The sequence below is a fragment of the Homo sapiens genome, chromosome 3 (genome assembly GCF_000001405.40).
Source record: "Homo sapiens chromosome 3, GRCh38.p14 Primary Assembly".
In the NCBI taxonomy this organism is placed as follows: domain Eukaryota; kingdom Metazoa; phylum Chordata; class Mammalia; order Primates; family Hominidae; genus Homo; species Homo sapiens.
In genome coordinates this window covers 167,435,306-167,450,956 of record NC_000003.12, presented here as the reverse complement: position 1 = coordinate 167,450,956, position 15,651 = coordinate 167,435,306, and the positions used below count along the sequence as shown (strand labels likewise).

The 15,651-nt window shown below is 37.2% G+C and overlaps 1 protein-coding gene across 3 annotated transcripts in view; it reads left to right on the top strand.

Moving 5' to 3' along the window:
- Positions 1-9,024, top strand: part of SERPINI2 (serpin family I member 2) — a 35,031-nt gene extending 26,007 nt beyond the window's left edge. For all 3 annotated transcript variants that reach the window (NM_001394327.1, NM_006217.6, NM_001012303.3), the window contains 3 exons: positions 1,555-1,641; positions 4,476-4,565; positions 8,772-9,024. In NM_001394327.1, coding sequence (NP_001381256.1) covers positions 1,555-1,641; positions 4,476-4,565; positions 8,772-8,848 — 254 coding nt within the window. In that variant the 3' untranslated portion in view covers positions 8,849-9,024. The remainder of the gene's footprint in view (positions 1-1,554; positions 1,642-4,475; positions 4,566-8,771) is intronic.
- Positions 9,025-15,651: the final 6,627 nt, after the last annotated feature.

Sequence of the window (15,651 nt, the reverse complement as noted above, 5' to 3'; positions counted from 1 at the left end):
TCCACATTCTTACTTCTAACCTATCATATTTCAGGGCCTGTTCTTTTCCTAAGACTGGGCTTTCTCTGCAGTGAGATGGAACAAAGGAGACTAAGTGGATTAGTCTAATAGCCAGGGAGTCATTTGGGCTGGTGCCATTGCTAAACTGGGTGAAATTCTTCACTCCTTCCTAACCTGCTTTTTGGTCTTTCCTCTTGGTGTGGGCCACTAGGTCATTCCCTCTGTGTTTATTTGTCTTCTTCCAGGCAGTCCTGGGAGAAGAAGGTGCTTATTTGCCGGACCTTGAGAGAAATTCTCTCGCATTTCAGTTAATTCACACTAATAGTGTGGATGCCCATCTCTCTCCACTTTACAGGTTTCTATCACTAGACATACTCAGATGCATTGACCTATTTATTATTGACTTATATATTACAAATATTTATTGCGAGCCAATTATGAGCCAGGCAGTTTTCTAGAGCATGCTTCCTTTGTCCTCTGAGGAACATTGTCAGATCTATCTTGTCTTGCAAGGCCAGCTTGACATGGCTTCTGGGCTCCGGGTTTCACTTCTTCCTTCTTGAGGAGACTATACTTGCAATTCACTCTACCAGAAACGCTTCACATATACATCAGTTCCACCAAGGGGAGAAAAAGGAGCATTCACTCTCAGCTCATATCCACACCAGAACAAAACGTTGTAAAGCACGATCTTATGCTGAAAATTTTAACAGGTTTTAAAGTGTATCTCTGAAGTGATTTTGTAACAGGTGACACAGAAGTTCCTTAGAATTTCATAGCTTCCCCAGATTTGAAGGCAAGTACATTTTATTTTAAACTACGATCAAAACCAAATACAGAATATAAAAGGCACTTTGGCTTTGAGGTTAAATATACAGGGTGGGATTAATTCAGATCTGGAAAGCCTCTTTCATTCTGTCTATAGACAATGGCTAAGGGAGGAAAAGCTCTCTGTCCCTTCAAATATTTCACTTAGTTGGATACCTGATTTGAGGCTTACATCATTTACCTTTTATATCACAGAAAAACTTGATCTCTCTCTGTATATATGTCATCTCTGGAAGAGCTAAACCTATAAATCACCTTTATCTGTTGCAAATTGACTAAATAGGAAAAAGTTCATTTATTTGTTTCCTTGTCTTTGATCATTTGAAAATCTAATGATGCTGGGCGTGGTGGCTCACACCTGTAATCCCAGAACTTTGGGAGGCCAAGGCGGGTGGATCACCTGAGGTCAGGAGTTCGGGACCACCTGGCCAACATGCCGAAACCCCACCTCTACTAAAAATACAAAAATTAGCCAGGTGTGGTGGCAGGAGCCTATAATCCCAACTACTTGGGAGGCTGAATGGTAGAATCGTTTGAATCTGGGAGGCAGAGGTTGCAGTGAGCTGAGATCGTGCCAGTGTACTTCAGCCTGGGTGACAGAGCAAGACTCCATCTCAAAAAATAAATAAATAAATAAATAAATAAATGTAATTAATTGAGATCTAATAGGTAACGGCTTTTGATTTTAACTCTTAAATACACTTTTGTGTATTTTTTTTTAACCAGATTCATCTGAAGTGTATGTTTCCCAAGTGACGCAAAAAGTTTTCTTTGAGATAAATGAAGATGGTAGTGAAGCTGCAACATCAACTGGTAGGGTGAATGATTTCTGGCCAAGCTAGAAGGAAACATGGGGAGAGGATGAACATTATGGTGCTGACCCTTTTGAAGTATTGTACTCTTCTTTTTCTCTTCTGCTGTCTAATACACTTCAGGAGGAAAAAAAGGAAATGGTTGTATACGCTGTTCATATTTCTCTTCAGTCACAGCATGATACAAAAAGGAAGGGAAGGGGTTTGATTAGGAGTTGAGACCTATCTACTGATATTTGCTTACTTGCGAATTGGATTACCTGTGAATTAGCAGATAGGACTTGTGGATAAAACTTTAGGGCTCAAATATAAAATCATTATTTTTTAGGAATGCTCACCCTTACGTAATTGTATTTTATTTCATTCTTTCATTACACCAAGTTAGTCACCACTTTGCTAATTTGATTCTTGTTATTATCTCTGTGGCAGTGGCTCTCAAACTTAACCTGCACATAAAAATCACCTGGGAAGCTTTAAAAACTCCTATGCCCAGTCAACCGGGCGCGGTGGCTCACGCCTGTAATCCCAGCACTTTGGGAGGCCGAGGCGGGTGGATCACGAGGTCAGGAGATTGAGACCATCCTGGATAACACGGTGAAACCCCGTCTCTACTAAAAATACAAAAAATTAGCCGGGCGTGGTGGCGGATGCCTGTAGTCCCAGCTACTCGGGAGGCTGAGGCAGGAGAATGGCGTGAACCCAGGAGGCAGAGCTTGTAGTGAGCCTAGATCGCGCAACTGCACTCCAGCCTGGGCAACAGAGCGAGACTCCATCTCAAAACAAAGCAAAACAAAACAAAACAAAACTCCTATGCCCAGTCCACACCCCAAAATAATTATATCAGTATTTCTGGAAGTGAAATCCAGACTCCAAAATTTTCATAGGTTTTCCTAAGTGATATCAATGTGCATGGAAGAACCAGTGCTCCATAGTGCTTTGCAGCTTGCCTTTTTTATTACAAATGTAGTGCATAGACCAACAACAGCACCACTTGGGAACTCGTTAGAAATGCAAAATCTCAGATCCAAACCCTAGACCGACTGAATCAGAATCTGTATTTTGCAAGATCACTAGGAAATTTGTATGTACATTCTAGTTAGAGAACCACTCTTCTAGGCCATATTTCCTTGAACAAATGACATTTTAAATAGCATCTGTGCTGCATATAAATAATGCTTGAAAAATAATTAGAAAAAAGCCCTAAAATAATTATAAATGGACAAGCAACTTTAATGAATTCCTTGTAAGTCTATTTTAATTCCCCATACTATTTGGATTTTAATCAATATTTAAAAGCTATTTATCATTTCAATGTCTTACTGATAAATATATAAAAATTGATATTCATTTATTAATTTCTTGATTAATTTGCAATGCTGCATTGGGCCAATGGATTTTGACATCTGGATGAAACACACTGGACTCCCTTACAATTTTGTCATCTCCTGAAGGATCTTGCATTGCTGTGCTCAAGGAACTTGGATTGTAGGGGATGAACTATATTAATCTTTGAAGAAGTCAAAAGGTTATATTTGGATGAAATTGCTGGATCATGTAGACAAATTTTCCAGCTGCTTTCAAACAGTACTGAGAGAGTCCTTATAGATTATTGTTTGATCTCATTATATTGGTGAAGAAACAGGCCCAGCAATGTAAAGTGGCTTACCTGAGGCCATATTATTGATTGACAGCAGAATTTGAACGCAACTCATGTTCCCTGACTTTAAGTTCAGAGCTCTTTATGTTATTGCCCACTGTCTCTCATTTTAAGTCTAAAATTTTCTAGGATTCTGTAACAATCATTAAGAGAAGGTAGATGAATCAAAGTAAAACTCCTCAGAATAGTCAGTCTGGGTATTTTGACTTTCAGAAATCCACTCACGGACTGCTCAAAAGCAAAAAAAGTCCAAGTATTCACTGTAAATGGGAATGGGAGTAAAACTGATCTTGCTTTTGGATTTATCGTAGTAATTCAGACATGAGCCTATATTCACTGGTTATTTAGGTATACCCTTGATATTCTGGATAGGAGAGTGCCAATCATGTTATCATACTAAGATTATATTTGACTGTTTTATAATTCTAATGATACATAGTGATTTTATTTTTCCTGGGGTCTGAAAATAACAGTACAAAATAATTCAATTATTGGGAAATACAGTATCTGAATTAAGCATAAAACATTTAATCTAGATAGGAAAAATATCTAACTTTTTATATTTTCCTATTCTAAATATTGACAAATACTGTAATGGAGCAACATAATATAAATAATCATAGAAAGTAATTTTTAAGGCAGCAAATTTCTGCTTCAAATCTCATAATAAAAATCTCACACACATTCACTGCACAAATCCTAAAAGCTCTGAGCTCACAGAATAATTTTGAAAGAGTAAGTAAAAAAAAAAATTAATTTGAGCTCAGATGTGATTACCACAAACCCGAAGTGCAAATATACCTAAATAGGAATTAGGAATTACAAACATTGTAGAAATAAATCATATAATGCAAATAAAAAGTGAACAGAAAATTACTGTTTAAAAGATAAATTTTTTCAACTGCTTTCACTAAATTGAATCTGGTATCTGGCTTGCTTCTTCATTGAGCATACATATAAAGTTAGAATTATTCTGTGAGTGACCTAATATTTATTCTTCAGTACTTTGGTTTTTAAATTTATTGCAAATTCCTCTGTATTTAGAAAATGGTTATTTTTCCACATGTTAACTCCTTACACAAAATGACTTTTCCTGTCTACAAAATGTATTATGAATATACTTTCTTTACTGATCTTTTAATGCAAGTATCTAAATAACTGTTGTCTCTATTTTATAGGCATACACATCCCTGTGATCATGAGTCTGGCTCAAAGCCAATTTATAGCAAATCATCCATTTCTGTTTATTATGAAGCATAATCCAACAGGTACCTTTTTTGAGAATTATTTGGGGGAACTGATTATGTTAAGCAGAACTAGTTCCAGTTTCTAATTGCAATGTACATATCTGAAGTCATTTGTTCTTTCAGTGGATATTTGTTAAGTGCATTTTATATACCAGGAATTGTATTTTAAGAGATGACCGAGGCCTAAAATAGGGCAGTGGTAATAATGGCTGCCATCATGGCTACTATATGCGGTAGCCATTTCATATAACCATCAGTAAAGCTAAAACCACTCCAGAAGATTAGATATTTGACTAGTAAAGAACAAAAGCTCAGAGAAAGATTGTATGGTTTGTCTCAGGTTACGTAGCTAGAAAGTGTCAGAGTGGGAATAAAGGTCAACTGTCTGTGTATGATGCCACATTGGGGATGGAAATTGAGAGGTGTGGAGTTGTGAAAGAATTCAGAGGTGGATACCAAAACAGTAAGTGACTAATGTAGGTTCTGAGGGATAGGAAGGAGTCAAAGGTAATTTCAAATCTTCAACTTGGGCAACTGGTGAAAGATGATGCAGTTAGGTAAAGGGAGTGTAGAAGTAGTGGATTGGATTAGCACTGGGCACAGTGTCAACACAGGGAAATTCAGATTGTCTGGATGGATGCTTCAGCACTTTCTCTTGTGAGTAAGAGAAGCCAGAAATGTGAATACAGTGGGAAAATTGTCAAGTTTATGTTTAGGATCCTTCAGCAGTCATAATGCTCATGTGAGAGTTACATACCACAGGATAGTAGAAATTATATTTTACTCATCTCTGTATTCAGGCCAATATTTGGCAAAATGCCTTGCACATAGTATCAGTTTCCCTATAGACAGAGGGTGTGAAATTGGGTTGGGCTCAATTTCCAGCTGAATTCACTAACAGTTGTGAAACAAGTTGCTTGTCCTTTCTAAGCCACATTTTCCCTATATCTTATTTGAACATAATAGTAGTGCTCATCTCATAGAGTTAAATAAAAGAATTTTTGAAGCCTGTAACACTGTGCCTGGCACATACTAAGTGTTCATTATGAATAAATTAATAAATATGAATGAGGGAGTGAATAAAAGAAGAAAGGCAAGTGAAAAAGTTTAAAGTCATTTACAGGGAGAAGAGACATAGTTAATTGCAGAATCTGAATCTATTAGATGAACTAGCGATACTGATATTATTGGCCCAGTAAGGGATACTTCACTCTTTTTTGGCTCCATGAAACTAATGCTGAGAGACCCTTCTGAAAGTCATATCTTAAAAACAATGAAACAGTTTTAGAATTGATGAGATTGCATTAACACAACTTCAATTCTAGTAATGGCTGTGTCAGTGTTCAAATGTATTCTAAGTATGTCATTTGATCTATGTGTCTGTCTAACCTTTAGATAATTCTAATTTTTTACAATTAATATATAATTATGTAGTATGGAGACAGAAAGAAAAAAAGCTACATTGGGCATCAATGCACAAGTAAATAATGGCATTTAGAATAATTATGTTTTACTCTATTTTCCAGGTTGATGACTTGTTATATGCAAAGGCCAAGTAACAGCTATCAGTAAAACAGCAGCAAAAGTTCAAAACCCAAAATAACCCACTTATCTGTTTATTTGTGATAATGCTTAACTAGCAGGTCTTAATGACAGTTTGAACTGTTTTATGTTCTTTATTGTAGTGAGACTTTCTAAACTAGGGTTACTCCTTTAAAGTATTGTTTAAAATAAATGGCCGCTCATTTATCAGGGACTGTCCGTTGTTGCCATATAAAATGTAGAAAGGGCCGTTATCTTAAGACAATACATATTTAGTGATTTATCAATTTTTCTCTCACAAATGAACTCAAGAAATCATTGAGATTAATGAAGATAGTGATTTAGCATCACCATAGTGAACTATTAAATGGCTTCATGGTATACATAAAGTGTATTCTGTTGATGATTTCTGAAGTATGAGGATGAATGATTTTAGGTTTAGTACAATCAATTTTTACATAGCCTGGAAATTTTCTTTGATCCAAACAGTCCTTTTGTGCAAAATCTAGCCATTATTTGGATTTTCCTATCAGATGAATTTTATATTGCAGTATATTCCTCTAAAGCCCTTACTAAGCTAAATTTCTAGGACAATAAAGCACCTTTTTAAGGTTGGGGATGTAGGCCAACTTTATAGGCTTTGAGAAGAAAATTGTGAAGGATACTCATGAAAGGTACCATTCCTGAAAAAATAGTGAATTATGATTTTGAAATTGACAGGACTCCAGACATAATGAAAGTTATTGTGTTTAGAACTCTTTTGGGTTGTGTGTTGAGGGGAGAAGCAGATTGCAGAATATCCATTAAGAATTTTTTTTCTCGCCATTAGCTTGGTAATGCTATTGTATTGTAATATTAGGAGGTAAAAGTTGCTTCCATCTGATGAAGATGTTGTATAAATATATTGATTAAATATGGGGGTACCTATTTAGGAAGGAAGCATGAAGATAAAAAATAATCATTTTTGCTTCAGTCTGCCTCTAAATTCTTCACTATTATGTCAAGGGAGATTTTATTAATCTGCCCAATTTAGTAGTAAGTAGATTGATGATGGCATGAAGATTCAATTCAAAATGTGATTCTTCCTGGAGAAAGAGACAGATTGAAAAGGCTGGGACTAATGGGTTTTATGTAACATTCTACCCTTCTAGGTATTTAAAATTTTAAGATATTGTCCTCAATTATAACTTAGTGTTTATAGAAGTTACTTTAAAATTTTTCCAGACAAACTACTCTGATGAGCATTTTAATGCCATAGCATTATGGCATTAATATTATGAAGATATAGGAGTCGCTGCTTATTCCTGTTGTGACTAAATGTAATATCTATTCTAGGAGATGTATTTATGTATCTTTATCTATCTGAAATATTGGGGTATTTGTTTTCTTTTTTCCAGAATTATTTTAATATTTTGAAACAAAACATTGTTGACTATAATTATTCATAATAAAAAGTAAAATCTGGGCCAGGCGCGGTGGCTCACGCCTGTAATCCCAGCACTTTGGGAGGCTGAGGCGGGAGGATCACGAGGTCAGGAGATCGAGACCATCCCAGCTAATACGGTGAAGCCCTGTCTCTACTAAAAATACAAAAAATTAGCCAGGCGTGGTGGCGGGCACCTATAGTCCCAGCTACTCGGGAGGCTGAGGCAGGAGAATGGCGTGAACCCGGGAGGCGGAGCTTGCAATGAGCGGAGATCCCGCCACTGCACTCCAGCCTGGGTGACAGAGCGAGACTCCGTCTCAGAAAACAAAACAAAACAAAACAAAAAAATAAAATAAAATCTGCTGGAGTTTATGTCTATTTCCATGTTATTTGTTCTTCAAAGAGTGTGTCTTTGGACTGAATAGTAGAGTTAATAAAAAAGGGCCGTCCCACTATTATTTCAAATGCATTTAAATATCATTTTATTAGCTTTAAAATTATGCAAAATTTGTCGCCTTTGAAATTAACCTTTATGACATCCGAGCATAAGGAACTTAAGGCAACATTTGACACTGATTGATTTAGGCCACTTCTCTTAACCCAGTTTAAAAGAAAGGTGAATAGATTTTGGTACATCATTCTTTCTGTTTTGTCCTTTAGTTCTTAGTTCCTTTTCACTTGCAAACACAGAATGGTTGAAAACAGGTATTTGCATTTATGCTGTATACTATATCACTTTGGTCAGTATTTGAAAATACTAGAGATATAAAAATATTGTCATTGGAGGTAAAGTAAGCTTTGATTCAGAGCTGAAAAAGGAGAACTGGGAAGTTGCACTTTTAGCCCTTAAGACTTACATTACATGCATAAAATGATGATTGCTAATGCCTTAAATTTAAAACTCTACCACGCTCATCACCGTTTTATTATGCTATGTTCTCCGGACTGGGTCTCTATATTTAGAAGAACACCTCTCTGTCACTTTATTTTTGTTTCCCTCTATGAAAAACAGGATTAATGCTTTTTCCATGACAAGCTGTAGTGGGTGTTAATTTACCTCATAAATTACCAGAAAATGATTAATAATGATATAATTATGAATTTGAGACAAAGGAGAAGGCTTTGCTATTAGACACTGCCTATTTATCTTACAGAGAAAAAAGACCAAATGACATGTTAAATATTAAGAAAAACTAATTATTGTCAGTTGTTTTCTCCTGAAATTCCTAAAGTATATTTTTTTGTTTTTTTTTCCCTAGAATCAATTCTGTTTATGGGAAGAGTGACAAATCCTGACACCCAGGAGATAAAAGGAAGAGATTTAGATTCACTGTGAATGAAAAGCACAGCCTCAGAATAAAAGATGATTTCTCAAAAATAGCTGATTGGCAAAATATCGTCATCTTGACAATATTTGCTCTATATCTTATGTCTTTTCTGTTTTAAACTGTGCCTGTAGTAATAGATATCTGTCTTGATGAATAAGTAAAATTAGGTATGCATTTGTTTCCATTCCTTCTGTATGTTTTAGAAAATCTATATGCATCTAAAACCTTGAGCGTACGTAAAATATTACCATTCATATGTTAGAACAATCCTGTCTATAATATCTTAAATACCAAATTCTTGTCTTAGATAGCAAATTTATTATTCCCTAAAATACTAGACTATTAGATTCAGGCATAGTACCATTTTCTAGCCATGGGGAAATAAGATAAAGAGACAATGGCCATGGTACATGCCTCTCTGGGGTGTCACTCAAGACACAGAGATCCAGTATTCCTTGCAATAGAGGAGCTTTGGGTATTTCACTAATCTTAACTTGTTATTTGACATGTTACATTTAATATTTATGTTGTTTCAGTACCTTTTGAAACATACCAGTTTTTTTTCTACTGATTTATGGTTTTAAAATGTACACAACATAGAAATGCTGAGCGCTTCTGTAAAGCATTCCTCTTTTTATAGGTGAAAGTGGCAGCATAATTAGCGTGACTCAGGAAGCTGAACTTCCACAATTTTACAATACTGAGCCAAGGAAGTGTTAGAGTCAAGATTGTGCACTATAAAGATTAAATGCAGATCCCTTCCCTTGAATACTCTGAAACATCACATCTAAATATCAAAAGCTAAAACTACATTCCAATATTACTTCATATAGCATGTTTCACAGTTTTTCCATTTTCAAGCTAATGATGTAAAATTCCTTTTTGTTTGTTTGTCTTGGCAATTTTGGCAGAGAGCTTAATGATAATAGCTGCACCTCAATGAGCCCTAATTTTGTGTTGGGCTCACTGAAGTAAGCACTTTTTACCTTATGTTAAATGTACTAAAATTTTTATGAAACAGCATTACCTAACTTCCTGATAAAGAAACTGAGATTCAAAAATGTTATAAAATTAGTCAAAGACACATAACTGATAAATATGGTGGGTAGATTTGAACTCAGAACTACTCGAGACTGACATTCAAAAATGTTATAAAATTAGTCAAAGATGCATAACTGATAAATATGGTGGGTAGATTTGAACTCAGAACTACTGGAGAGTGACATTGAAAAATGTTATAAAATTAGTCAAAGACACACAACTGATAAATATGGTGGGTAGATTTGAACTCAGAACTACTCAAGCTAGAAGTCTGTGACCTTAATTACTGAGTTATATTCCCTTTGCAGGGAAGGAAAAAGTAATTTTCTCTCTACTTCTCATAGCTTTGAGCTAGTATCCCTTGTAATAAAATACAGGATAGCCAGGTGTGGTGGCTCACATCTGTAATCTCAGCACTTTGAGAGGCTTAGGTGGGAGGATCGCTTGAGGCCAGGGGTTCAAGACCAGCCTGGGCAACATAGTGATATCCGGTCTACATAAAAATTAAAAATAATAGCCAGGTGTGGTGGCGCATGCCTGTGGTCCCAGCTACTCGAGAGGATAAGGCATGAGGATCACGTGAGTCCAGGAGGTTGAGGCTGCAGTAAACTATGATTATGCTACTGTACTGTAGTCTGGACAACAGAGTGAGTCCTCGTCTCAAAAAACAAAAGATTCACAAGAGAAAAACAGACATTTGTTAACATGTATACCACATGTACACATAGAAGACACCCAGGAAAAAATGAGTAAATCTCAAAGAAGTGGCTTAGAACTCTGGCTTACATAGCATCTTCGACAAAGAACAATACATGGTTGAAGAAATGACAAAGGAAAAGGACCTTGGATTTATAAGGGCAGTAAATTGTAGGAAGGCAAATATATGGTAGATAAAGGCTATTTTGTAAAATTTGTTATGTAGATTCCTGTGGTGATATCTCCAGGATGATAAGGGTCTTAAGTCATCTTCAGTGATCAAATTCTGTCCTACTTGGTAGAGAGAGGAGGAGGGATAACTTTGTGAATTTGTATTCTGTTTTTAGGCAAATTGTTTAGGCAAGGCAAATAACTTTTCCTGTATCTACTTCTTCTCAGTTGCCTTTAGCTCAAAATAACCCTTATGCTAAAGTGGCATCTTTTGGGGTGGCATATTCTGCTGCCCTCCACCTTCTATTTTAATTTTCAAAATCTAGGTATCCATCTACAGCAAAACCTACAGCAATACTCAAGACATTATGAAGCCAACTTTAGAATGAATTGTGATTGCTTAAAAATCATAACATAATTGAAAGCAATGTTCATTACTCTACTTTCAATTTGAGCATACTTAGATATAACACAGTAAATACTAATCTATATGTTAGTAATATGCATTTGTGGCATAAATTCCTCACAACATATCTGTTTTAAAAATATAAGTCTTTGTTTCAGGAAGGAGAGAATAATGAGTTAAGAGGATAGTAGTTTTATTCAGCTGTGGTCCAGATTCCTGTTTCTCTTGGGTTGGCTGAATTCTTCTGATCCTCTTTCATGCATTAAATGTCATGCTCTGGGGATTCATTCATTCATTCTACAAATTTTAATTGAGCTTCCACTATGTTCCAGGTAGTTTTCTAAGCACAAGGGATGTATTAGTGAGCAAATCTGACAAGGTCCTTGTCTTCCTGGAGCTGACATTTTACTGGTAGCAGTAAACCAGTGAACAAATACAAAAACAAGGTAATTTCAAATGGTAATAACTGATGACATTAATAAAGCAGAAGAAGAAAATAAGAGGGGTTCAATAATTGAGATGATGTAATAAGATCACTACCCAAGTTTCACTTTAAGTACATATTCTTACAGTGTGTTCCTAATGTATTTGTTTTCCTTAATAAGATTTGCTAAAAGTCTGCCACGAGTTCCCGACTGAGGATCCTGAAAGCATTATACAGAAGTTGGGTAATTTATTTTTCTGATTTCATGTTCTTCTTCCATTTGGCTTAAAAATGGGAGTGTCTTCCATAAGCTCATTGTGTGGATTCAAGATAAAAACCCCATTTTCTACCATGTTCTGGAAATACATTTGCCGAACTACTTCCAAAATTAAAACATTTAATTTTTTCCTTCAGTTGTAAGTAACTCAGTAGTTATTACAAGTTTGCATCATAAAGGTTACAAGTATATGGAATACATTTACAAAACATACATCTATTTATGAAGGAAAATAAGTATGAAATAATTTTCTTTGCTAAACTGTATGAAATCTGTAGGATTCACAACAGTCCATAATCAATATGGGATAAAATTACTGTCAATACCCCTTGTAAAAGTCCAGTACATCATATATAGGAAATATTTGTATTCCTCATGGAGGCAAAATAATTATTAAAATAGTAGTATTTCTTTTGGAAACTTTGGGTTTTATTGACTTCACATAGCTATAATTCATGGCGTATTCTAGAGGAGTTGTTACCAGACTGAACTTGGGTCTGCCTGCCTGGCACAGCAAGGCCAAACAATGACATTGGGATTTGCAAGAAGAAAAAGTGAGGCATTTATCGCAGGGTGGCAAGCAAGGAAAATCAGGCAGCTCATGCTTAAGATCTGAAATACCCAGTGGCTTAACTGTAAGAGTTTTTAAAGGCAGGGAGGCAGAGGTTACAGGCAAAGCTATAAATCAGTACATGGAGGCTATACGTTGGTTTGGCCTAAAAAGGTGGGACATCTCAAATCAGGTGAGTGGGGAGGGTGGCATGGCCCACAGATCACAGGTGGATGCAAATATTTTCTGATTTGTGATTGGTTTGGCTTTGTCTAAAAGTGTGGGTCAGCTGAAAGGAGAGTTGAGCTCTGGCCTGTGAGCATAATTTCCTTCAGGACCCTCAGGAAGAAATTTAGAACAAAGAATGACAGAATTTAGTCCTCTGTTCCACCCTATCTGAGATCTATGTGCCAGCAGATGGCTTTTCCATGTGGTGAGGGGTCCAGGTCTCTGAAAAACAACTCAGGGACATATGTGAAGACTTTACCTTTAATTTCTATAGAGAAGCAAACTCTGTGGCTCTAGCTTCCTTGGCTATTGTTTTCAGCTATTACAGCATTCTTGCTTATCAGGTTGCTCATTTACTTCTCAGGGCTAGGTTGGTGCCTGGAATTTCCCTGGAAGGAACTCAAAATTTTCCTTTATTTCCATGCCTTGGGGGTGGCAGGCCCGTAGGAGGGATCCCTGCTTCATCTCAGAGTCTGCCACATCACGCAGTACAACTGAAAAGCCAAAGACCTGAGAAAAGGAATAATTTCTTTCTTTGGAGAGGCTTATAAAATCTCCTGAATTGGGTAATGATGACATGGAAACCTTCAAAGGTACAGAGAAAACTTTAGGCAGGTTTCATTAAAAGTCTGTGCCTTGGACCTCTGGAAATAAGATACTTCCTCATTTTGTAGCCTTATACCATTGAAGCATACTCTATGAAGGACCAACCCCCTGAGCCATGGATTGGCCTGAGTCTGATTACAAGCATATGGTAGAAGTGTGGACCTACTTAATTTGTTTGCTTGCAAGAGCACTTAATTTTGTGATTCCTTCCTCCCCTTATTGTCATGGTTCCTCATATGATAATCTCTAAATCTGAAGCCTAAAATTCTAAATGTCAATAATCTAGTTTCTTTCTCCTTTTGATTCCTCAAGTGACCACCCTGATGATGTAAAGGAATTAAAAGATGACATATTTTTCACTGTCCAACATTATAATTTTTGGCTTGTCACATCAATTCTCTGGAGCTTCAATGCCCTCACCTATAAAATGAAGGATTGGTTGGACTAATCCTATTTCAAGTCTTTATTCCAAAGTTCTATCTTGGCAAACCTTGGGCTTCTCCTCAAAGACACATCTTTGAAATAATGTCTTTTGAGTTTTTATTGTCTATAAGCAGTTATTTTACAAAAAACAAAAGTACATTCTTTCACTCGTGTCTGTGTGAAGAGACCACTAAACAGGATTTGTGTGAGCAATAAAGCTGTTTATTTCACCTGGGTGCAGGTGGGCTGAGTCCGAAAAGAGAGTCAGTGAAGGTAGATAGGGGTGGGGCCGTTTTATAGGATTTGGGTAGGTAAAGGAAAAGAGGGGGTTGTTCTCTGGCAGGCAGGAGTAGGGGTCACAAGGTGCTCAGTAGGGGAGCTTTTGAGCCAGGATGAGCCAGGAGAAGGAATTTCACAAGGTAATGCTATCAGTTAAGGCAGAAACAGGCCATTTTCATTTCTTTTGTGGTGGAATGTCATCAGTTAAGGCAGGAACCGGCCATCTGTATGTGGACGTGCAGGTCACAGGGGATATGATGGCTTAGCTTGGCCTCAGAGGCCTGACATTCCTGTCTTCTTATATTAATAAGAAAAATAAAATGAAATAGTGGTAAAAGGTTGGGGCGGCAAAAATTTTGGGGGATGGTATGGAGAGATAATGGGCGATGTTTCTCAGGGCTGCTTTGAGTGGGATTAGGGGTGGTGTGGGAACCTAGAGTGGGAGAGATTAAGCTGAAGGAAGATTCTGTGGTAAGGGGTGACATTGTGGGACTGTTAGAAGAAACATTTGTCATTTAGAATTATTGGTGATGGCCTGGATACGGTTTTGTAAGAATTGAAAAACTAAATGGAATAAGAGAAGGAGAAAAACTGGTATTAAAGGTCTAAGAATTGGGAGGACCCAGGACATCTAATTAGAGAGTGCCTAAGGAGATTCAGCATAGTCCTGCCAGCAAAAATTATTTATTTATTTCAAGAGTTAAGAGTGGCGGTTTGGGGATAGCAGCAGGAGATATCAGCTGTGATGGCTTGGAGAAACAGTGTAAACTGGCAGTGTAAACAAGAGCAGGGCATTTATGAGTAGTTGAGAATGGTGAATAGGAGTATGACTAGATGGAAGATAGTAGGGATGACAAGTTTTTTGGGGCACAGTCTAAGTTGGTCTGGTGTCTGGAATGAGACTGGGGCTTAATAAAAAGGAGCGTCCATACAGGAGCTCAAATGGGCTGTACCCTGTAGCATTCCAAGGACAGGCCTGAATTATGAGAAAAGAAAGAGGTAAAAGTATTGTCCAGTCCTTTTTAAATTGGTGGCTGAGCTTGGTGAGGTGTGTTTTTAAAAGACCATTAGTCCGTTCTACCTTTCCTGAAGACTGAGGACTGTAAGGGATATAAAGGTTTCACTGAATACCAAGAGCCTGAAAAACTGCTTGGCTGATTTGACTAATAAAGACTGGTCTACTATCGGACTGCATAGAGGTAGGAAGGCCAAACTGAGTAACTGTGTCTGACAGAAGGGAAGAAATGACCGTGGTGGCCTTCTTAGACCCTGTGGGAAAGGCCTCTACCTATCCAGTGAAAGTGTCTACCTAGACCAAGAGGTATTTCAGTTTCCTGACTCGGGGCATGTTGAGTAAAGCTAATTTGCCAGTCCTGGGTGGGGGCAAATCCCTGAGCTTGATGTGTAGGGAAGGGAGGGGGCCTGAATAATCCCTGAGAAGTAGTAGAATAGCAAATGGAACACTGAGAAGTTATTTCCTTGAGGATAGATTTCCATGATGGAAAGGAAATGAGAGGTTCTAAGAGGCGGGCTAGTGGCTTGTACTATAGCATAGCCTGCCTTTGCTGGTGTGTGGCGATTAGGCCTGGTGGAACTGCCATCAGTAAACCAAGTGTGATCAGGCTGAGAAACAGGGAAGAAGGAAATGTGGGGAAATGGGCTGAACGTCAGGTGGATCAGAGAGATGCAGTCATGAGGGTCAGGTGTGGT